Consider the following 25,477-nt stretch of genomic DNA (forward strand, 5'->3'; position numbering starts at 1 on the left):
CGAAAAAAGCGCCTTTGACAGGTGAAGCCAAGTTGCATGCTGGGAGCATCCCTGCTGTCCAGGTTTCAACTTCCGGAGACTCTGCCGCTGTGGACTACATTTCCCAGAAGTCTCCGGGGCACAGGCCTTTTAGGGGCGGGGCGAGCTTGCCTGCCAGAAGCTCCTCTCCCAGCCTGCGAGCATTTCCAGGCTCTTGTTTCCCATCAGCCTCTGGGTCCAAACTAACCACAGGTCTCTGGGTCCTTTTCCGGTGTCCTTAAGGTTCTTGGACTCTGCATGGTGAGTTGGTCGTGTCTGTAGAAGTAATCAGCCCGGGTGAAGCTGGGAGGGCTCGGCTGGCTTTACTGGGGCCCGACTGGAACCGGCAGTGAGGGTGGGGGTGGCATCGGGGGTGCTGGAGGTGGGGAGGGCTGGGTCACGGACAGAGCGTGTCGTGTCCGGATCCTCAAGCCTGTGTGCACGCGAGCAGCCGAGGGACAGTGTGTCTCAGACGGCGTGGCAGGGACGGGGCGTGTCCCCACGGAGGTGGGTGCAGTTGTGAATGTGTGACGGGCTGACAGGGTGCGTGGCCGTATTTGTAAATGTGATTTGCTTTGACCAAATGCTCTAGGTTCCCTTTAGCCTGTCTTCGGGCCTGCCACAATTAAATGACCGCAAGAAAGAAGTCTATGCTAAGCCCCATAATGAACGTTTCAAGCAAGAAGGATGAGAATTTTAGATCTGGAAGTGTCCGCGGGACAGGATCTTGTCAAGACCTGATGGGGAAGTTCTAGAGGTGGGATTCCTAGAAGAGGGGCCTCTAGGAGCTCTTTGGTGGTGAGCTACATGTTTCAGAGCCATTGCAAGCAGACCTCTGTCCCCAAGAATTGCCCTCAACACAGAGACAGACTCTAGCCTCCCTTTTCATTCCGTTTGGTTTTGTGTGGATGAAGGCAGAAGTGGCCCCAGAGGGTGTTTTGCTCTTCTTTTTCTTTTTTAATTAAGTCTGTGACGCGCTAGAAATGCTGATGTCTCATGTTACTGTTTTTTCCCCCAGTGCTGCCAGGTTGCCAGATTTCTAAGAAGGAGTTTGAAGAGGAGAAAAGGATTTTTGCATGTTTAGAAATCAAGGTTCAGGTGAGGTTTTTTATACATACTTTTTAAATACATACACATACAATTACCTTTGCTTCTAGGTCATGAGAACATTTTCTTTCCTTGGCCTGAAATATCTTGACTGGGTTTTCCCAGTTACATGACCCGCCATGCTGGTACATATTTCCTCCCAGTGGCCCCCTATTGTTCTTCTCCACAATTCTTACCCACCTGTTCATATGGCAAATTGTTCAAATACTTCAGTGCATTATGATGCACTGAAGAGTTATAGAAAGGCACCTCTTGTAGATTGCTATTAGAGCATTATTTTATACTATGATTATTTGAAGAGATTAGTAATTAGGTGGTGTTATATAAACATTATTTTTTATCTTTTCTGTAGTCATAATTAAAATTTTTTTTTAACTTTTTTTAGAGACAAGGTCTCACTCTGTTGCCCAGGCTGAGTGCAGTAGTATAGTCATAGCTCAGTGCAACCTTGAAGTCCTGGGCTCAGGTGTTCCTCTGGCCTTGGCGTCCCAAAGTGCTGGGACTGCAGGTGTGAGCCACCATGCCTGGCCCATAGTCATGATGCTTAAAGAAAGGCAAGGTATAAGGGATTTTAAGTAAGGGAATGTTTCTGGCAGTAAATGACAATGTTGTCTGCTTTGTGAGGCTTTTAGGGGTGGAAATATGATTGAGCTTTGAACATAGGGATTTGTAATTTGCACCAACAAGAGTGGGGACTTTCAGATAATCTTTAGATAGAAATCTGTAACATTTCCAAGCATGACTTGTTTGAAGTCCAGCTTTCTGTGGCATGTAAGAAGCCGTACTATGTTGTAGTTAAAAATAAGGCCCTGGGGTCGGGCACAGTGGCTCACGCCTGTAATCCCAGCACTTTGGGAGGCTGAGGGAGGTGGATCATGAAGTCAGGAGATCGAGAACATCCTGGCTAACACGGTGAAACCCCGTCTCCACTAAAAATACAAAAAATTAGCTGGGCGTAGTGGTAGGCGCCTGTAGTCCCAGCTACTCGGGAGGCTGAGGCAGGAGAATGGCGTGAACCCGGGCGGTGGAGGTTGCAGTGAGCCAAGATTGCACCACTGCACTCCAGCCTGGGTGACAGAGAGAGACTCCATCTCGAAAAAACAGCAACAACAAAAAAATTAAGGCTCTGGATCCAAAGTATCTGAATTCAAATCCTGGCTCTGCCTGTTGGTAGCTGTGTGTGCTTAGACAATTGATTCAGGCCCTCTGTGCCACATCTATAAAATAGGGACAGGATAGTACCTACCTAATGGAGTTGATATGATGTAAGATGAGATATTATATGTAAAGCTTCGTAGAGCAGTGTCATCCCCATGATATGGGCTTACTGAATATTGAGTTGCTATTATTGGGCTCTTCTAGATTATTTCCCATAAACTTTTTATAGATTAGAGTAACAGAAGTATGAAGTTGATTGTGACGGGTGCTTGCAAATTAACTAAAAAAGTGGGGGCTGGGCACGGTGGCTCACACCTGTAATCCCAGCACTTTGGGAGTCCGAGGCGGGTGGATCACAAGGTCAGAAGTTCGAGACCAGCCTGGCCAGCATGGTGAAACCCCGTCTCTACTAAAAATACAAAAAATTAGCCGGGCATGGTGGCGGGTGGCTGTAGTCCCAGCTACTCGGGAGGCTGAGGCAGGAGAATTGCTTGAACCCAGCAGGCGGAGGTTGTAGTGTGCCGAGATCGCGCCACTGCACTCCAGCCTGGGTAACAGAGCAAGACTGTCTCACACACAGACACGAAAAAGTGACCACATGCTCAAATGATCTAGGACAGGAACACTTTTTTTGTTTGTTTGTTTAAACAGGTTCTTGGCCTTTTGCCTAGGCTGGAGTGCAGTGGCATGATCATGGCTCACTGTAGCCTTGGCCTCCTAGGCTCAAGCGATCCTCCCACCTCAGGCTCCCGAGTACCTGGGACTACAGGTACGTGCCACAAAGCCTGACCAGTTTTTGTTGTATTTTTTATAGAGAGGGGGTTTTGCTATGTTGCCCAGCCTGGTCTCTAACTCCTGGACTCAAGTGATCTGCCTGCCTCGGGCTCCTCAAGTGCTAGGATTACAGGCGTGAGCCACTGTGCCCAGCCTTACGACAGGAAGTCTTAACCTGAGGTCTTCTTGTTCCATTGACGAGCTTCCAGGTGACCAAAATCCCTTGAAATTGAGACTAAATTTTTGTAAATATGTGTAAATGTGTTTTTTTAAGTGGGCAAAGTGTCTATAATTTCATGAGATTATCAAAAGTGACCATGACCCAAAAAGATCTAGCTCCATTGTTCTGGAAAAAAGACTGTAATTGCCGGGAAAGAGCTTGAAAAATATTAGTGTCCAGCTGGGCTCAGTGGCTTATGCCTGTAATCCCAACGCTTTGGGAGGCCGAGGCGGGTGGATCACTTGAGGTCAGGAGTTCGAGACCAACCTGACCAATATGGTGAAATCCCATCTGTACTAAAATTACAAAAATTAGCCGGGCGTGGTGGCGTGCACCTGTAGACCCAGCTATTCAATAGGCTGAGGCAGGAGAATTGGTTGAACCTGGGAGACAGAGGTTGCAGTGAGCCAAGATTGCACCACTGCACTCCAGCCTGAGTGACAGAGCAAGACTCCATCTAAAAAAAAAAAAAAAAAAAAAAAAAAATTAGTGTCCAATAGAATGGAAATAGTCAAGTAAATTGCAGTATGTCTAGTGATGGAATGATATGCACCTAATAAAAATTAAGTTTATAAAGAGTCAAAGGAAGGAAAAATATAAATGATATAATTTTAAGCAATCATTATAGTTATGAACAAAAGTGCTCAAGAATATTGTGTTATGTGTCAATCCCATCTGATAAGACACGGTTTTGGAAGACATATTTCAAGAATTACATTAAAATGTTACTTTAATTGGTCATTCACTGAAGAAGTGGAAAGGTGCAGCCGTACTTACAGAGTATCTACTCTATACCAAATACTGTTTTGTTTATGCACATTTATTTTCTTCCTCAGACTTTGAAGGTGGTTTATCTCATTTGTGTTGATTTACAGGAGAATCTTGACAGTGAATGTGTCTCATTACATTGAATAACAGCTACAGGATGTTCGAGAGCTGGTAGGTGTAAATTGTTTCAGGCCCACTGATTTTCAGTGTTGGCCCCGTTTGTTCAGTTTTCTTAATGACTGGAATATATTCCTCCTGTCACTCAGTTTTTTACATTTGGAAATGTCTTTATAGTTCCAATTATGGAATTAATGCAGGCTTGGTCCAAAAAAAAAACTCAGCGGTCCAGGAGACATATAGAGAAGGAAGCTAAAAATTGCATCCTCTAGAGTTAATCATTTTTAATGTTTTGGTGTTTTTTTTCTTTTTCTTTTTTGAGATAGTTTCTCATTCTGTCACCCAGGTTGGAGTGCAGTGGTGCAATGTCAGCTCACTGCAACCTCCACCTCCCAGGCTCAAGCGATCCTCCCACCTCAGAGGGAAGGTAGCTGGGACCACAGGTGTGTGCCACCATGCCCAGCTAATTTTTCATGTTTTTGATAGAGATGGGGTTTCACCATGTTGCCCAGGCTGGTCTTGAACTCCTGAGCTCAAGCAATCCGCCTCCTTTGGCCTTCCAAAGTGCTGGAATTACAGGCGTGAGCCACCACACCCAGCACTTTGGAATATTTTTATTTAAATCCTTTTTCCTTTGAGCCTATGGGTCTGTTTTTTTTTTCTTTTTTTCTGCAGAATAAAATTATAGTAATTGGTGATGTAAATGAATTGAAGACTCTTTAGTTCTTAGTTTGAAAAAAAAATCCAACCCAGTTCTAGGTTTTATGTTAATCTTGAATATTTAGGGAGAAGAGGGAAGTACTAGTGATTCCCTTATTTGAAAACCTTCAAATATTTACAACTTCTGGGATTATAGAAATGTCATTTAAAAATGAATTACCAGGCAAAAAAGAGTTTTAGAATTAGATTATTTTAAAGGTTACCTCTACAGACAATGGCAATAATCTCCAATATACAGCCATCTTACAAAAAATACATTTTACAGATAATATTTCCAAGGACAGGTGTAAATACCAGGAGGTAGAATAAGAAGGTTCTTGTTGTAAATGTTTAAGTAAACCACCAATTTGTACAGAAGACTGAGCCTTTGGTTAAGTTCTCAGCTTTATACCTAATCAGGTTGTATTTTCTGATGCAGCTTAATGATGCTGAATCTCTATGTAACTTCTGGGAGGAAGGGGTATTTTCCTCTATATGTTTCTGAGAACCTGTTTTGCTCACATTGTTATTTAGGAAGAATAGCAGACTCAAGGTTGACCTGTGAAATTTGAGTTCACGTTATAAGAAAGCAGGTCTGAGAAAGACACATTTTACTGTGAGCAAAATAGAGTAGCCTTAAGTTTCTTTGGCATAACAGGATAAGGGACAGTAACATTCTTCATTTTCAATAATAATGATGAAAATGTGGCCAAGCCTGGTGGCTTGCACCTGTAATCCCAGCACTTTGGGAGGTCAAGGCAGGAGGATTCCTTGAGCTCAGGAGTTCGAGACCAGCCTGGACAACACAGTGAGACCCTTTCTTTACAAACAATTTTAAAGAAGAATCATTAGTCGGGCAAGGTGGCGTGCACCTGTGGTTCTAGCTACTGGGGATGGAGGCTGAGGTAGGAGGATCACTTGAGCCCAGGAGGTTGAGGCTGCAGTGAGCTGTGTTTGTGTCACTACACTCCAGCCTAGGCAACAGAGCAAGACCCTGTCTCTGAAAAAAAAAAAAAAAAAAAAAGACAACTTATAAACAATTATCATATACCATTCAGTATTTTGTATGGATTTCTTACTTACTCTTCTATGGTAGACACTGTTCTCACCCGTCTTACTGATGAGGAAACAGAGGTATTGAGAAATGGATAACTATCAAGCTCAAATTCACATCCTAAAGCTCTCACACCAGAACTTTTATCTTAATTTCAATAGAATATGCCTCCCACATTATGTTAGTTACAAACCGGCCTGCCTAAGGAATTGATCATGCATGTCTTTCTTCATCAATTAATATGAACCAACACCATCATAACTAATGAGGATATGGTGGGCCATAATTTATTAAACCTTTTGCTTACTATTACGTAGTTTCTCATTTTTGGTTACCAGAAATTATTTTTGGTTGAGTACCCTTGTGTATTCATCTTGTGTGTTTCTTTCTTCTTTACCTATTTCTTTTTTTTTTTTTTTTTCAGATGGAGTCTCGCTCTGTCGCCCAGGCTGGAGTGCAGTGGTGCGATCTTGGCTCACTGCAAGCTCCGCCTCCTGGGTTCACGCTATTCTCCTGCCTCAGCCTCCTGAGTAGCTGGGACTACAGGTGCCCGCCACCACACCCAGCTAATTTTTTTTGTAGTTTTAGTAGAGACGGGGTTTCACCATGTTAGGATGGTCTCGATCTCCTGACCTCGTGATCCACCCACCTCGGCTTCTCAAAGTGCTGGGATTACAGGCATGAGCCGCCGTGCCTGGCCCTTCTTTACCTATTTCTTAAGGATACATTTCTAGAAGTGAAGTTTTGGGTAAAGAATTTGCCCCAAATGCCTGACCCTGTGATACTTGTACTTAGCGGGTAATACAGTGTTTGGAAGACATAGTTGTTACCTTGGAGACCAAATATGCCTTGGGGTAAGCATAAGGCAGCCAGCAGTCAGCAACAAAGGCCAGTAGGCAATCCAGGGGACCTGCTTTAGGAACTCATAGGAAGGCAGTTATAAGCAATACCGTTGAACCATGATCAAGCATTTGGAGGCAAATGGAATTTATTCTGTAAGGTTTATACTTTATAGTTTTTATTCTACTAATGTTGGTTGCAAAGTGAGCCTAATAGGATCAGGTGATTCAGTTATCTGGATTCAGTTATCTGGAGAGTACCATGTCTAAGACAGGTTCAGATACAAAATAAATCCATCAGTCAAGATAAGAAAAGTAGAATCAAAACCTCATTAATGGAAGGGGAACAAAAAAATAAATAAAACCTCCCCTCAAAAAATGAAAAAAAAGGATGAAATTCCTCAACTTAGGCCATGAATATATTAATATCATTTCATTAATATTATTCCATTAGTATTATTCCATTAATATATACATGGCATAACTTGGGGAATTTCATCCTTTTTTTTTCTAGGCAAGACATAGGCATATGTAGAAATTATACAGTTCATGTAATGTATGGCCATGGTTACAATGATTGTGTGGATTACCTAAACAGAAAACATTATGATCATAATGAAAAGATAAATGTTATTAATATATATAGATATATAATTTTATTTTTTATTTTTTATTTTATTTATTTATTTTTTTCGAGATGGAGTCTTGCTCTGTCACCCAGGCTGGAGTGCAGCAGCGCGATCTCGGCTCACTGCCAGCTCTGCCTCCCGGGTTCACGCCATTCTCCTGCCTCAGCCTCCTGAGTAGCTGGGACTACAGGCGCCTGCCACCACGCCTGGCTAATTTTTTGTATTTTTGTAGAGACGGGGTTTCACCGTGTTAGCCAGGATGGTCTCGATCTCCTGACCTCATAATCCACCCACCTCAGCCTCCCAAAGTGCTGGGATCATAGGCCTGAGCCACCTCACCTGGCCTGTTTCTTTCTTGAGATGTATAACTTTCTAAACATTTTTTCATCTATTGATGTGATTGTCAGTCTTTCTGTATTGATATATATGTATTTTATAAATGTAATCATAAGTCTCATAACCTCCTTTTTCTATTGAGTATATCTTGATTATTTCCCTAAGTTAGCATGTACTCATTGCATGATGTTCTGCGTCATGAATATTCTGATATATGCATTAGAAAGTCAGCTTTTTGGGTTCCTGATGAATTCCTTATACAGCCTGTCCAGCTCCCATGTTTTGACCAACTTCCTTCAGTCCTGAGCCCATGAAGGACGTTCTAGCTTGGACCATGACAGGTATTCCTGAGAGGTAGGAATGGAAGGAGGATGATCTGATTTCCTGGGCAGGACTGAATTGTCGAATCCCAGGTCCAGATTCACATCCTCAGAACCAGACACTGCCAGAAACCTCCCTGCTGAAGACCTTTGGGGTTTAGGTGAAAGTTTGAATTCCATAAATGGTGCGTGGGGTGTGTAGCAGAAGCAGGCATGGAGAAGATAAGATCTTCTATTAGTGTAAGTCAGGATGGGATCACTGAGGCACACCTGGTTTAACGCTTCGTTTTCCCTCCCCAGTTCTGGCTTTTCTGGATTCTGTGCTTCACCAATAGAGGAATCCCATGGAGCATTAATTAGTTCTTGCAATTCCAGAACCATGACTGATGTAAGTTGGTATTTTTCTCTCCATGAAATACTGTGATTTTTAGGGCGTGTGAATCTTTTCATTAATTTTCCTTAGACCTATAGAACTTCTCCATAGACCCAAGTTTTCCACAGAGATAAGGACTTTGGGGTTGCTTGGTCTCAACCTCAGTTTATGTGAAGCTGCATGTGTTGGGAGGCGCTTCAGATTAGAGAGAGGGGAGTTAAGTGGTTCTTCCCAGGAATTTCCTAAGAGATGAAGACCAGTGGTCTTTGGAGTCACCAAAGGACTCCACCACCAGTGGATTTTGAACCAGTTGACTTTGAAGTCATTTTGTCGTCAACCAGGATGTGTAGGCCATGAGTGACATTTGTGTCATGTGCAATATCCTATATCAGTATCCTCATGTGTCTTGTATCAGTACTCTCTAACTCAGGGACAAGTGAAGTACTAAGCGAGGGGTAGTTGATAGTAACAGATAAGATGATGCCTAAGGTCTAGATGATAATATATTTCCACGATCAAGAAAATCTACAGAAATTTTGTTCAGCCTAAATGTACAGATATAATTGAGTGACTAAGCTCATATATTGGAGGATAAAATGAATTGCAACAAATAAAAATACTGTTTATTCATCATAAGAAAAAATGCTTATGATGTAATCTAACAGTGATGTATTTGAGTCTTGATAGTCCCTAATTTAATGGGAATCATTTTTATAAAATAAAGATTTTGTAGTACATTTGGAAAAAAGTTTTCATGTTTTCCTATTTCTTTCTTTCTTTTTGAGACAGAATCTTGCTCTGTCACCCAGGCTGGAGTGCAGTGGCACAATCTCGGCTCACTGCAACTTCTCCCTCCCAGGTTCAAGCGATTCTCCTGCCTTAGCCTCCCAAGTAGCTGGGATTACAGGCATCTGCCACCACACCTGGCTAATTTTTGTATTGTTAGTAGAGATGGGGTTTCACATGTTGGCCAGGCTGGTCTCGAACTCCTGACCTCAAGTGATTTGCCTGCCTCAGCCTCCCAAAGTGCTTGGGATTACGGGCATGAACCATTGCACCTGGCCTTGTTTTTATTTCTTAAAGGGGAAAGATGGTGAGCAATTCACTTTTACAAAGAATTTATGAGGAAGGCACATAGCACATTGTAAATCTGCATGATGTATACGCAGGCACTTTTTATATAACAGAGAAGAAACTGAGATTTTTAAAATATATTACCAGACAGATCTGGATAGCTGAGTTATCTCACAGTATCCGGGAAGTTTTTTCTGCTATAACAAGATTCTCGTAGAACATGTTGACATCCTGCTTTAGTCACAGATTTTCTTGCTTTTTCCTACCTATATCAGAGGCTTTCAGCCTACTCGATTGTTATATTTCTCCCCCTCTTTGTAGTTCATCCTTTGTACCCTCTTTTTTCCTCTTGGAAATGTTTTCTTTAATTTCACAAGTAATACATGGGTTTTTGGTTTTAGGGGTTGGTGACATTCAGGGATGTGGCCATCGACTTCTCTCAGGAGGAGTGGGAATGCCTGGACCCTGCTCAGAGGGACTTGTACGTGGATGTAATGTTGGAGAACTATAGTAACTTGGTGTCACTGGGTAAGGTCATCTGCCTGAAATAATTTAGAGTCTCCTCTTTGCATCATCAGTTTTCTGCACTGGAAATTACAGGGCTATCTTTGAAGAAACCAGGTGAATTTCTTCTCCCCCTTCCCAAGGGCATGCTTTTATACTTGCTGGGTTAGAAATGGGTTTGTTAAACACGTTGATCTTCCCCATCCCTCAGTGAGCTTTACACCATTCTCGGGCCCTCCCTGCAATCACCTCTCTCCTTTAATGGCCAAGGGGCTGGATTTGCATTATAGAACATTTATTTCATAACTATGGCAAAGAAACCAGATTTCATAAATTCTGCAAATATTATATTGAATATCTACTCCTGGCCAGCCTTGTGCTGAGCACTGTCAATTGAATCATGAACAAGCTTTGATAACTTGCCCATTTTCGTGCAGTTTACTTTGTAGTAAAGCAGAAACATCAAATAAGTAAATTTATAAATAGATAAATAGTATGTAATGAAGCAAATTCTTTGGAAAAGGTAAACAGCATAAGGGAATAGAAAATGATGAGGACTGACAGGGCTAATTTAGGTAAGACAGTCGGGGAACGCTTTCTTGAACAGAGATGTGGAGCCTGGGATCTCTATGTGAATATCTGGCGGAGGAACAGATCAGTCACAGTGAACAGCAAATGCAAAGACCCTGTTGTTGGAAAGGAACTTTACCAGAACTCTAGAGTAGAGTTATTAAAGGAACATGTACTAAGAAATTAGGCCAGGGAGATAGGAAGGGGCCAGATAATACATTGTTTTGTTGTTCTTGTTTGTGGAATTTGGATTGTTTAGTCTCTTTCAGTCTGAAACAGTTCACATGTCTTTCCTTGACTTGCGTATATGTCTGTGATGCTTTTGAAGATTACAGGCCAGCTATTTTGTATAGTGTTCCTGAATGTGGGTTTGTCTGCTATTTCTTCATGATTAGATTTAGAATATGGATCTTTGGCAGGATTATCACAGAATTGATGCTGCGTTCTTCTCCCTGCATTTTGTTGGGTGGTATGATTAATTTATCATTACTCATGTTATTCACTCTGAGTACTTGATTAAGGTAGCGTCTGCTGGCTTCCTCCTTGTGCAGTTGCCCTTTTTCCCTTCCACAACTATTTTGTGGGGAGGAACTTTGAAACTATTAAATATTGTGGAACTGGGCACAGTGGTGGCTCACACCTGTAATCCCAGCACTTTGGGAAGCTGAGACGGTTGGATCACTTGAGGCCAGGAGTTCGAGACCAGCATGGGCAGCATGGCAAAACCCCATCTCTACAAAAAATACAAAAATATTTGCTGGGCTGTGGTGGTGCGCTCCTTTAGTCCCAGCAACTGGGGAGGCTGAGGTGGCTGGATTGCTTGAACCTAAGAGGTTGAGGCTGCAGTGAGCTGAGATTGTGTCACCACACTCCAGCCTGGGTGACACACAAGACCCTACCTCAATAAATAAATAAATATTGTGTTCCTCTTTAAACTTTCCATTTATTCATATGTTCGCTTTCTAGTCAATGGGCTATATTCTGTTTTTTTTCTGTTATTTATTTTGAAGCTCAAAGTGTTGGAGCTTGTCCAGATTTAGTCAGTGGGAATCCTTTCATGATATGGCTTTTTGGCACATCTCCGTCACTCTTTGAGTACCTCCTGGTTTTCTGATAAACAAGGTGTTAGAGGTTCATCTTGTATGAAATTTCCCTTGTCTAGTTTTACAATCAGCTATTGCTTTGAAGTGCCTGGTTACTTTCACACAGATTTATAGTTATTATTTTATGCATTTGTCTTTTAAATCAATAAATCAAAAGTACAATAATACTAACTTTTATATTTACTCATGTAGTTACCTTTACCAATGTTCTTTATTTCTCCTTATGGCTTCTAATTACTGTTTAGTGTCCTTTCACTTTAGTCTGAAACACTCTTGTCTAACATTTCTTCTAGAGTAGGTCTACTGGTAATCACCTCCTTCAGCTTTTGTTTTTTCTGGAAATGCCTTAATTTCACCTTTATTCTTAAAGGACAGTTTTTGCTGGTATAGAATTCTTGGTTGACAGTTTTTTTTTTCTTTTGGACTTTTCAATATACCATCCTGTTACTTTCTGTTCTCTGTGGTTTCTGATGAGAAATTAGCTGTTAATCTTGTTGCAGATTCTTGTATGTGGTAGGCTGCTGCTTTCTTCCTGTGTTCTGAAGTCTTTTTGTCTTTGGGTTTCCATAATTTGACAATAATGTGTCTAGATATGAATCTCTTTATCATGTCTGAAGTTGTTGAGCCTCTTGGATGTGTGTATTCCTGCCTTTTGTCAGATTTTGGAAGTTTTCAGACATTTTTTCTTCAAATTTTTTTCTCTACTTTTGTCTCTCTTCTTTTTCTGGGACTCATATGATGTGTATGTTGGTGTGCTTGATGGTATCCCATTGATCCCTCAGGCTCTCTTCACTGTTCATTATTCCTTTTTCTTTTTGCTTCTCTAGTGCAATAATTTCAAATGACTCATTTTCAAGTTTGCTGAGTCTTTCTTCTGCTGAATCCACTATTGAAATTTTCATTTCAGTTACTTTACTCCAGAATTTGTTTGGTTCCTTTTTTTTATAATTTCTATCCTTTTATTGATATTTTCATTTTGTTCATACATTCTTTTCCTGATTTCCTTTAGCTCTTGGTCCATGGTTTCTGTAGCTCATTGAGCATATTTGGATAGTTCATTTAATGTCTGGGCTTCCTCAGGAATGGTTTCTGTCAGATTCTTTTTTTTCCTTTGAACGGGCCCCATATTTTCCTGTTTCACTGTATGCTTTGTAATTTTTTTTGTTAAAACTGGGCATTTTGAGTATTATAATGTGGTACCTCTGGAGATTCAATTTTCCCATTCCTCAGGCATAGCTGATTTCTGCTTGTTGAGGGCTGGAGCTGTCAGATTTTTTCAAACTCTTTTTGCAAATTGTATATTCCTTATTGTATGTGGTCACTGAAATTTCTGTTCCATCATCTCTACAGTCAGTTAGTACCAGACAAAGATTTACTTAAATATCTGGCTGTAAAAAGGGGAGGAAAAAAAGGTCCATTAGCCCTTTAAATCTTCCAATAGATACTTCTGGGGAAAGCTGCTGTGGCTGATGGGGCTAAAATCAAGGCAGTTATCTGTGCTGGTCCCTCAAGGTAACACAAAACCCACCAAACTGCACAACCCTGAATTTTTTGGAAGACAAGGTCACGCTGCCCACCCAGGTCCCAACCGGCTGTTCCAGGAATACAGGCTGCTCTCCCCACAGCTGTGGTGGAGCTGAGGAGTGAAGGAAGTGATTAGTTGGTACACAGCATTCCAGGCACATAGGCCTGTCATCCCATAGCATTGGCTGGACTGAGAAATGGGGGATGGTGGCTTGCACGAGCCACTCTTTCACCTAAGAATAGTAGCCTCTTTATTCATCCAGCACTCCCCTTGTTGTTATGGAAGTGCCTGATAAGATTCCAGAATTAAGAGTTTGTGGATGCCAATCTCTCTCTCTCTTTTTTTTTTTTGAGATGGAGTCTTGCTCTGTCACCCAGGCTGGAGTGCAGTGGTGTGATCTCGGCTCACTGCAAGCTCTGCCTCCCAGGTTCACACCATTCTCCTGCCTCAGCCTCCTGAGTAGCTGGGACTACAGGCGCCTGCCACCACGCCCGGCTAATTTTTTTTCTCCTTTTTTTTTTTTATTTTTTAGTAGAGATGAGGTTTCACCGTGTTAGCCAGGATGGTCTCAATCTCCTGACCTCGTGATCCACCCACCTCGGCCTCCCAAAATGCTAGGATTACAGGTGTGGCCCACCGCACCTGGCCAATGACAATCTGTCTTTCCAGCTCAATTGTTGCTTTGATGGAGGTACCAGCCCTTAGAGCTTCCTATTTCATCATTTTGTGTGACATCACTCCTACATATTCATTTAATGTCACTATTGATATGGTTAGATTTCAGTTTACTATCTTGCTATTTTTTGTTTCACTAGTTCTTTCTTTTGTTTCCACCTTCTTGGATTCATCAAGTATTTTTTAGTATTCCATTTTATCTCATCTGTTATCTTTTGCTGTATTATTTGTATTTACTTTTGGGATTACAATATGCATCCTTAATTTAGCATGGTCTACTTGAAATTAATAACATACTACTTTGTTGTATAATGTAAGAATTTTACTAATCTGTAAACTTCATTCAGCCTGAAAAGCTTCCTTTAGCATTTCTTGTGTTATATGGCTACTAGCAGCTAATTTTATCTTTTTTTTTTTTTTTTTTGAGACAGTCTCACTGTGTCACCCAGGCTGGAGTGCAGTGCCATGATTTCAGCTCACCGCAGCCTCTGCCTCCCAGGTTCAAGCAATTCTCGTGCCTCAGCCTCCAAAATAGCTGGGATTACAGTCGTGTGCCACTATGCCTGACTAGTTTTTGTATTTTTAGTAGACACAAGGTTTCACTGTGTTGGCCAGGCTGGTTTTGATTTCCTGACCTCAGGTGATCCACCTGCCTTGGCCTCCCAAAGTGCTGGGATTACAGGCATGAGCCACTGCACCCAGCCTTCATCTTTCTTATTTTTGAAGGATATTTTTACCAGATATGAATTTCCCAACTGATATATTTTTTCTTTTAGTTAGCTTCAAAAATGTTCCATTATCTTCTGAACTCTATTGTATATAATGATTAGACAGCTATGATTCTTATTGTTCATTTTATATATACTTTATTCTCTGTTATTAAGTTTTTTCTTTATTTTTGGTCTGTAATAATCTGACTATAAAGTTCTAGATATGGTTCCTTTACATTTATCATGCTTCACTTTCCCTTACCTTTGATCAGTGGGTTGATTTTTTTATTGAATTTGGAGAAATTTCAACCATTGTATCTTCAAATACTTTTTTCTGCTTCTTTAGTACTTTTCCTCCTCCTAAGACTCCAATTATATGTGTGTTAGACCACTTATATGGTGCCACCAGTCACGGAGGTGCAACCCCCAGTCTTTTTACTCTTTGTACTTCAGTTTGGTAATACCTATTTACCTGTCTTGAAGTCACTGTTTTTTTTTTCTTTGATAGTGTCCAATTATTGTTAAGCCTATCCAATAAAGATTTCATTCCACCTACATTTTATAGTTATAGAATTTACATTTGGTTTTGTGGGTCTGCTTTTATTGACTGTATTTTCTCTAAATCTTGTGTCAAATTTTCCTGCTTCTTTACCGGTCTTACAATTTCTCATTGTATACTGGCCATTGTAGATGCCATGTTGTAGTGACTTGGGGATTTTATTATCTTCCTAATAGTTAAACTGTTCAGGCAAGCAGTTAAATTAATAGCAGATCACAATGATCTTTTTAAGAGTTGATTTTTGAAGGCAGGTACAGTTTGGTTTTATCCTTAGTCCTGGACATAATTCTTACTCTAGGTAGGGCAGTGGTTCTCAAACTGTGGACTGAAGACCCCTGGGAGTTCCCAAGAACCTTTCAGTGGGCCAAACCTTTCACAAAGTGAAAAATATTCTCATAACAATACTGAGAGGTTTGCCTTTTTCACTGTGGTGACACTTCCACTGGTGGTGTAGAAGCCATGGTGAATCTTCTCTGCTTTAGCATGAGCAAAGGCAGAGGCACCAAATAGTACTAGTAATCATCATATTCTTTACCTCCACACACAAAGAAAATGTGTTAAGAAAAAACCCATTTTCACTTAAGAACATCTTGAAGAAGCAGTATTCATTTTATTAAATCTCAACCCTTGATTATATATACATTTAAAAAATATTCTATGTAATGAAATGGGAAGTATCCATTAAGGTCTTCTGCTGTATACCAAAGTATGATGGTTGCCTTGAAGAAAACCACTTGTACAGTTGTTTAAGTTGTGAGTTAAAGGCCAGGCTCTGTGGCTGATGCCCGTAATCCCAGCATTTTGGGAGGCCAAGGCGGACAGATCACAAGGTTAAGAGATCGAGACCATCCTGGCCAACATGGTGAAACCCCATCTCTACTAAAAATACAAAAATTAGCTGAGCATGGTGGCACGCGCCTGTAGTCCCAGCTACTCGGGAGGCTGAGGCAGGAGAATCGCTTGAACCCGAGAGGCGGAGGTTGCAGTGAGCCAAGATCGTGCCACTGCATTCCAGCCTGGTGACAAAGTGAGACTACGTCCCCACCCCCAAAAAAATTGTGAGTTAAACCAACTGCTTTTTTGACAAAACACCATATTTTTCACCAAAGAATGAAAAACTTTGTTTGTTCAGACTTGGGCAGTAGGAAAACATTTTCTTGCAAGTGAGCCTGTCACTTCAAAAATAACTAATATTTGTTGCCAATGATATAATTCAATCTGTCATGTTAAAATTAGAATTTTGTAAAATGTTTATTCATAATTTTGAGCTTTATAGCTTCCTAATACATTAAGATTTTTTATGAGATGGGTGGTAATATTAACATGTGATTTTTTGATGTTGTATAGTGAACTACGTCAACATTTCAAAGATCTGCATAACTCTTTGAATCAGTATTTTCCAAATGACCAGTGTATGATGTTACAAAATTACACATGGATAAAAGATTATTCAAAGTGCAATGTAACATAGTATGAAAAGTTCACAGATATGATTTTATATTCCACATTGTACTTAACCTGCCAGACACTACCATTTCTTAAGTTTTAGGGTGGTGTCAAAGAAAAATATCCACAGTTATCTGCATGGACTAGTAAAATATTCTGCCATTTTCCAACTATGTACCATGAGAGGCTAGATTTTCTTCATATACTTCATATATATGATTTTCTTCATATATTTCAACCTAAATAACATATTGCCATAGATTGAATGCAGAAGCAGATATGAGAATCCAGGTGTCTTTTATTAAACCATCCATTTAAAAGATTTGAAAAAATTTAAAACATCTTTTGTTTTGTTTTAGAAAAGATTATTTTTATAACAAATCATTTATGTTAACAGTTAATGGTTTATTGTTATTTTAAGTGAATTAGTAAATATCTTAAAATTTCTCTGTTTAAATTTTTAACATGACAAATATCAAAATATATAACTACATAAACTAAAAGTCTTTTGGGTCCTCAATGATTTTTCTTGACATTTAAGAAGTTAAACCCATATTTATTTACTGACACTGTAAAACCTTACATAAAACATAAGTAGTAAGTAACTAAAATGTTAAATCTAAATCTATAATGTTAAATTAAAATCTAAGCCTTACATAGAAATTAAAATTCGCTAAACTACTGATGCTATGTTGTACAAAACTGTACTCCTTTTAGTTCATAATTGGTCACCTCCATATTCAGTTGGAATATTAGGTTGGTCAGCTTAAATACTGTGGCTTTGTTTTGGTTATCCACAGAATCTTTACACCCAAATGTTAATGCATAAAAAGCAGCAAGACATTGTTAAATGAAACAGCAATAGTGCAGTTTAGACCTGTGACCAACTATATATGATTAAACTTACTTCCCACATTCACATCACAATAATCATCCATCATTTAATAGCTCAACCAAAATGTTATACAGTCATCAACAGGCAAGGCACATGAAAACCCCGCACAACCAAGAATGATTTGGGCCCAAATGTCAGTAGATTTGAGTTTGGAAAAACCTTCTTGTAGTTGTTAAGGCTCAATGGCTCTGGTTAATTTAATATAATAAACAACAACTTCATAATGGAAAAAAATTAAATCCTCTATTGAGGTATAAAACCTAATTAATTTATAAGGATAAAGTAAGTGACTACCTTGAAGTCAAAACACATTATGGACAATGAAAGAGTATTACGATTGTTCCAAATTGACAAGGGTATTTAAACCTAGGTACACAATCTTTCTTAAAATTAATTTATAGAAAGTCATAACCTGTGGGTACATGAATATGAATATACATCTTCTCCAACTTGACAAGTACATTATTGCTGGGACAGGTACCTTTTAATAACAAGTAACTTATTAGCCTAGAAAGGCCAAACTTCTCTTTTTATTGTCAGCTTTTGGTTTTTAATATACCTGGGGTTATATAAACAAAAACACAGTCATAGTAGTTTTGGGCTAAGTAAATTCTGGATTATGTCAAAGAAACCTGATTGTTTCTAGTATCTTTTGTAAGCGAAAGAGCAAATCTTTGTGCTTGCTCAGTGGCCTTTTAGGAAACCTGAAAGGCAGATTTTATGTGAAAGACATAATCTGTTACAATCTGTTTCATTATTCTGAATTGGAAAAGGCATTAACAAAAAGAGTTGTCAGAGGAGCTTTTGACAAGAACAATAGTTGTGACTAATTAATCAGAACATCAACACAATATTTAAAATAATGAGAAGGTAGCAAGATTTTAATTTTTATTTAAATAAAAAATTCTGTTCTATTTAAAAATAGTTTAGATGTGTAGTATAAGGTAGCTAAAAGCATGAAAATTATTTGACTCTTAAAATTTGAAGCATACACAGAAGTGTGGCAAAATTATGCAGATTTATTTTCTTCATGTATTGAAGAAAAAGAATAATACTTTAATTTCCTCATATAGAGTGGACAGTTTACTCCAAGATCATCATTTTCCCTTAGCTAGCAGTCTTTTCTATCATATCATACTTATGTCACTTTTTTCATACATTATATGACATAGCATTTCCCATATGCATTTAAACCTGCTAATATTGTCAATATACCATGCTGAATGACACTATAATTTAAAGCTTTATTTTCAATTTTAAAATATAATTAACAGTATTAATGTGTTATAAGATGATGTGTGTATCACATTGATTTTTGACAGGGTAGTTTGAGCTTAGTTGAGTGAAAATATGTTTAACAATGGTCAAGAAATAAGTAAACTTAATTGAAAAATAACTCAAAATATTTGTTCTTCCTCTTTTATGAATATCTTCTTAGGAACTTTTTATGCAACCAGAAATTATTTATTAGTAACTCTCAAGATCATTTTGTCTAAGTGAATTGGAGATCTTATAATTTAAAGTGATCCTTAAATAGCAATACAATTACTGTTGATTTTTAAAATTGATAGACATTTAAAATTTTTAAATAAGGTAAAATCTATAGAGTCACATAATTGCAGCATTATATGAAGTTATAAAAATCAATCCTTTTATAAAAATTCTGGCTAATAAATCTAAGTAAATGTAAAATTTAATTGAACTTTATATTTTTACAATTGTGAACATTTATGAAAGCAATGTTTGCTTTATCTCAGGGGTTGGAAAACTCTGGCTCTGGAGGCCAAATCCACCTGTTTTTGCAAATAAAGTTGTATTGGAACATAGTCTTGCCCATTTGTTTATATGTTTACATATTGCCCATGGCTGCCTTGATAAAATGGCAGAGTTGCGACCATTGAGTTGTTAGACAAAAGAGTTGTTAGACAAAACAAAATCAGCCAAAGCTCATTATGATAAGAATTTGATTCCCATTAAGATACATTGGATGACCACAACTGGGCACATAAGGGCTTGATTGATGGAAGCTGACATTTGGTTTGAGGGAACATCAGCGTGGGAAAATGAGGGACTTGTTGAAGCGACCTCTGTGGAATCCTCCAGAAAACTATAAAATCAGAACATTCAGATCACAAGAGCTGCAAAATCAAGGCTGAGTTTGTTATTTAACAAGGGAGTGCCTTAATGCCAAGGAGTGAGTTCAGTAAGTCTCCTAATTTGTCTTTTATTTCTACTGTAGTTTTTTTTTTTTTTTCCCTAGTGAAGGAAATAAAATGTGTGGTTTTCTTGTTTTCTTTCAGATTTGGAGTCAAAAACGTATGAGACCAAAAAAATATTTTCAGAAAATGATATTTTTGAAATAAATTTTTCCCAGTGGGAGATGAAGGACAAAAGTAAAACCCTTGGCCTTGAGGCATCCATCTTCAGAAATAATTGGAAGTGCAAAAGCATATTCGAGGGACTAAAAGGACATCAAGAGGGATACTTCAGTCAAATGATAATCAGCTATGAAAAAATACCTTCTTACAGAAAAAGTAAATCTCTTACTCCACATCAAAGAATTCATAATACAGAGAAATCCTATGTTTGTAAGGAATGTGGGAAGGCTTGCAGTCATGGCTCAAAACTTGTTCAACATGAGAGAACTCATACAGCTGAAAAACACTTTGAATGTAAAGAATGTGGGAAGAATTATTTAAGTGCCTATCAACTCAATGTGCATCAGAGATTTCATACTGGTGAGAAACCCTATGAGTGTAAGGAATGTGGGAAGACCTTTAGCTGGGGATCAAGCCTTGTTAAACATGAGAGAATTCACACTGGTGAGAAACCCTATGAATGTAAAGAATGTGGGAAGGCCTTTAGTCGTGGCTATCACCTTACCCAACATCAGAAAATTCATACTGGTGTGAAATCTTATAAATGTAAGGAATGTGGGAAGGCCTTTTTTTGGGGCTCAAGCCTTGCTAAACATGAGATAATTCATACAGGTGAGAAACCTTATAAATGTAAAGAATGTGGGAAGGCCTTCAGTCGTGGCTATCAGCTTACTCAGCATCAGAAAATCCATACTGGTAAGAAACCTTATGAATGTAAAATATGTGGAAAGGCTTTTTGTTGGGGCTATCAACTTACTCGACATCAGATATTTCATACTGGTGAGAAACCCTATGAATGCAAGGAATGTGGGAAGGCTTTTAATTGCGGATCAAGTCTTATTCAACATGAAAGAATTCATACTGGTGAGAAACCTTATGAATGTAAAGAATGTGGAAAGGCCTTTAGTCGTGGCTATCACCTTTCTCAACATCAGAAAATCCATACTGGTGAGAAACCTTTTGAATGTAAGGAATGTGGGAAGGCCTTTAGTTGGGGTTCAAGCCTTGTTAAACATGAGAGAGTTCATACTGGTGAGAAATCCCATGAATGTAAAGAATGCGGAAAGACCTTTTGTAGTGGGTATCAACTTACTCGACATCAGGTATTTCACACTGGTGAGAAACCCTATGAATGTAAGGAATGTGGGAAGGCTTTTAATTGTGGATCAAGCCTTGTTCAACATGAAAGAATCCATACAGGGGAGAAACCCTATGAATGTAAAGAATGTGGGAAGGCTTTTAGTCGTGGCTATCACCTTACTCAACATCAGAAAATTCATACCGGTGAGAAACCTTTCAAATGTAAGGAATGTGGGAAGGCCTTCAGTTGGGGTTCAAGCCTAGTTAAGCATGAGAGAGTCCATACTAATGAGAAGTCTTATGAATGTAAAGACTGTGGGAAGGCCTTTGGTAGTGGCTATCAACTTAGTGTTCATCAGAGATTTCATACTGGTGAGAAGCTTTATCAACGTAAGGAATTCGGGAAGACCTTTACTTGTGGCTCAAAACTTGTTCATGAGAGAACTCATAGTAATGATAAACCCTACAAATATAACGAATGTGGGGAAGCCTTTCTGTGGACAACTTACTCAAATGAGAAAATTGATACTGATGAAACCTTATGATTGAAAGTTGTAAAAGAATATTTTGTGTGTGTGTATAGACAACTTATCATAATAAGAACTCTTACTCTTGAGAAACCTTGTGAATGTAAGGGTTGTGCAAAAGCCATTCATTTCTGTTTATGGGCAATTATCTTGCTATCCAGCAATTCATACTAGTGAGAAATATTTTGAATATAATTAATATGAAAAGGCCTTTAGACTTCTGTACAGTCTTATTGGATATCAATTTATACTGATGTAAAATCATTTAAATGTAAGGAATGTGTGAAGATCTTCATTCATGACATAAGGTCTGATTAACATCAAATAATTGGTATTTGTTAAAAAGAGTTTAAATAGGAGGAATGTGGGAAGGACCTAAACTTAATTCAGTTCTTGCTGCACATCAGAGAATTCATACTGCTGTGTAATCCTATGCACATAAGGAATTTGGGAAGGCTTATAGACACAGTAAATATCTTAGAGTACATCAGAGAATTCATCCAAATGAGAAATCATTTGAATTAGAATTATAGGAAGGCCTTTAGACAAATGCTACCCAAATTATTATCCAGAGACTGGTGCAGTCATAAAATTGTCATCTGTCAATTGTGAGATAAACGTGGAAAGTGAGTAAATATTTGGAACTTTTATAGCAATTTGACATTTCCATAACATTCTGTTTTACAAAATTATCAGTCCATAAATGATTGAGAATTGAAAACAAAGTTTGTTCTTTCCCAGAAATAATTTGAGACAAGACTCACACTTTTCAAGACATGAGACAAGTGACAATTTAAATAAGAAATTCTTCACTTGCACCTCTCTGATTAGAATAGCAGAATATTCATACTATAGCAAGATTTGGCAAATGAGGGAATCAAAATTTTCTAATGCCTGTAACAGCATAAGATAATTTATACCAGATATGTTAAATGTGCAGAAGCCTTCCAACACTATTCAGTCTTTGTTAAACTTCAGTAAGTTCATCCTAGAGAGTAACTCTGTTAATGTAACAAATGTAGGAAAACCCTTATCCATGGCAAATACCATACTGTCATCACCATTTCACCTCCATACTACCTGTAGGATGGTGAGCAAAATGCTTATCTCTTCTGGACATGATGTTTCAAATGCTGATGGTAACTAATAATGCTGTTACAGAGATTAGATGGATTTAGTATGCATCATATCCTTGGAAGAGTATCTGGTATGTAGCCTATGCTTAATACATATTAGCTATTGTTCATATTGTCTTTATTATTAGTATTACTACTGGTGAATTCTTAGGAGAGGCACAACCGTTTTGAGGAATGAATTCAGAAAAGCTTCCCATAACCACTCATCCATTTGAATTTCAGATAGTTCATTCTGGATAAGATCTAGTACAGTATAAAGAATTTGAGGGGATTTTAATTCAGAGTTTATCCCTTAAGCTGAGCTAAAAAAATGAGACTTGAAAAAATCCAGACTTTTGAAGAGTTTAGGAAAGCTGTTTTATAGAATGTCACACATTAGTTTCATTCCTCATGGTGAAATTTGATATGGGCCTCTCCTTCACATTTCTCGTAACATGAAGTTGGAAATAGAGGCTTAAACATTTTTTACCAGAACACTTCATAGATGGTGATGTGTACTTCATCTTGCAATACCTCAGAAGCAGATAGTATCCATTTCCCCCAGTATCACCAGTGCCAAGTTTGATCACTTATGGTAACTACTGGAGTTGTCTGTTATAAAGATCCATTATATACCTAATAGGATTGGTCAGCCTTGATCAATGATCTTTGGAAATGTGTGATCATATGGTATGTATTTTACTTTTTTTTTTTTTTGGGACAGGATCTCTCTTTCTGTCACCAAGGCTGGAGTGCAGTGGTGTGATTTCGGCTCACTGCAACCTGCACCTCTCGGGTTCAAGTGATTCTCGTGCCTCAGCCTCCCAAGTAGCTGGATACACAGGTGTGCACCACCATACTGGCTAATTCTTGTATTTTTAGTAGAGATGGGGTTTTGCCATGTTGGTCCAGGCTGATCTTGAACTCCTGCACCTGCCTCAGCCTCCCAAAGTGTTGGGATTACAGGTGTGAGACACTGCGCCTGGCTATATTTTACTATTTGGAAATCACAATGCATCTTAAAATTGATGGCTTCTTGCAACCACTTTCAACCAGGTGCCTGTCATGATTTAGTGCTAGCATCAAGGCAGGTTAGTTATGAAGAAATAGAGTGTGTGTTTATATACTCACACAGTTAGAAATCGACCCTTTTAAAAATTATTTCTTTTTGAAAATAATGTCAGTTCCATCAGAACTAATGCATTGATAACTAAATGTCTGTGGTTCCTTGTCATAGGTCTACACCTGACCTCTCTATTTTGTGCACATAGGGGATTCGTAATATCACTGTTCAGTCAGTCATTCACCATCTAGTGATCATCATTCTACATGATTGCACTTTTTCAAAGGCATAAAAAGCCAACAGTTGCACTCTTAATAATCAACTGTAACACAAAGCAGAGTACTTTGGGAGTTTTAACAGGATATATTATTGGTAACTGGCTATTATGCCACTCCCTCTGGGTGCCACATTTGCCTGTTAACCAAGAAATGTAGACATGGTGCCTTATCCCAACATTTCTGAAATTATATCTCAAGGAATCACCAGTGCTTACTAGTACTTGACAATGAAGGAGGATTTTACAGTTAAAGAAGCTTATAAAGTAGCATCTACTAAATCCCCTCCTAAGGAACAAGCAAAAGCACCTCACCAGCTTATCAAAAGACTAAAGAGAAGTGAAAAAAAAAAAAAGACGGCCGGGCGCGGTGGCTCATGCCTGTAATCCCAGAACTTTGGGAAGCCGAGGCGGGCGGATCACGAGGTCAGGAGATCAAGACCATCCTGGCTAACACGGTGAAACCCCGTCTCTACTAAAAATAGAAAAAATTAGCCGGGCGTGGTGGCGGGCGCCTGTGGTCCCAGCTACTCGGGGAGGCTGAGGCAGGAGAATGGCGTGAACCCGGGAGGCAGAGCTTGCAGTGAGCCGAGATTGCGCCACTGCACTCCAGCCTGGGCGACAGAGCGAGACTCCGTCTCAAAAAAATAAAAATAAAAAAAGACTAAGGAGTATTCTAGTGAAGAAAATGGTTGAACTTTGTTTAAACTGGTGTATGGCAAACTTCACTGTTGAAATACTTATTCCCATGACCTATTATCTTTGTAGGTGGGTGAAATTGCATTGGGAACTGCTGCTATAACCAAAAGAGAATTTCAGTCACCATGTCTGGTTGTTAGCTATGATGGAATGGCAGCATCATGGTCTCAGTTATGAGTGAAAATCTTTGTTGTAGCTAAGTAGTGGTGCCTCCTGAGTTTTATTAAATGCCGTTTCACTATCTTTTTCTGCACTTCTATAGTATTTAATTTGTTCATGTGATAATTTATTCTGATAGATTCACTGACTTTTTCCCATTCCTGGATATTCCAGGTTAGTCATAGTATCCTTCTGATGCATTGCTTGATTTCATTTTGCCATTTTATTTAGTATTTTTGCATCTCATGAGTGAGATTATATAATAGTTTTCTTTTTTATTGTATTTTTGTTTGTTTTGGTATTGCAATAGCCTGTTTTTTAATATTGTATGATCCTATTAGGTTATTTTGTTTGATCCTTGACCACTTTTCTAGTTCCATCTGTTGCATTTTTTTTTGTCTTTTAATTCCTACTTCAGACATAACAGATTTATTGAGTGTTAGCACAGTTCCTTTAAGGAGCCTTCATAGCCATGTAGTACTAGCCAAGATCCGCATAAAAGACGCATCCCAGCATGGCCCCTAAAATCCTTCATTATGTGCTCTTAAGAATAATGTGTTGGGAAGTCAGAACTTCCTTATAGGGCTGTTATGATCATACTTGTACATGTCTTTTGGAGCACACGTGTACACATTTCTTTCTGTATATACTGGGAGTGGAATTGCTGGGGTGTGGTCATGGATACACATCTGTTCAACTTTTTAGTAAG

General features: G+C 38.8%; 1 protein-coding gene across 12 annotated transcripts, besides 1 other annotated feature; it reads left to right on the forward strand.

Annotated features, from left to right (window-relative positions):
- Positions 14-213: an enhancer, noted in NCBI's record as "active region_14744". NCBI's record gives its function as "activates an Ori minimal core promoter by ATAC-STARR-seq in GM12878 lymphoblastoid cells {active_cell/tissue: GM12878}" and the evidence as "EXISTENCE:reporter gene assay evidence [ECO:0000049][PMID:35858748]".
- On the forward strand, positions 156-24,852 carry ZNF283 (zinc finger protein 283). Of its 12 annotated transcripts, none has more exons than XM_047438638.1 (8): positions 156-279; positions 611-816; positions 1,037-1,116; positions 2,935-3,052; positions 4,153-4,216; positions 8,340-8,427; positions 9,888-10,014; positions 19,774-24,852. In XM_047438638.1, the coding sequence occupies exons 5-8, from the start codon at positions 4,170-4,172 to the stop codon at positions 21,474-21,476; spliced, it is 1,965 nt and encodes a 654-aa protein (XP_047294594.1). In that variant the 5' UTR covers positions 156-279; positions 611-816; positions 1,037-1,116; positions 2,935-3,052; positions 4,153-4,169; the 3' UTR covers positions 21,477-24,852. The 12 variants fall into 12 exon arrangements, with proteins under 12 accessions (XP_047294594.1, XP_016882122.1, XP_005258841.1 ...); XM_017026633.2 differs by having other exon boundaries at positions 611-775; XM_005258784.4 differs by lacking the exon at positions 2,935-3,052.
- Positions 24,853-25,477: the final 625 nt, after the last annotated feature.

The sequence above is a fragment of the Homo sapiens genome, chromosome 19 (assembly GCF_000001405.40).
Source record: "Homo sapiens chromosome 19, GRCh38.p14 Primary Assembly".
In the NCBI taxonomy this organism is placed as follows: Eukaryota; Metazoa; Chordata; class Mammalia; order Primates; family Hominidae; genus Homo; species Homo sapiens.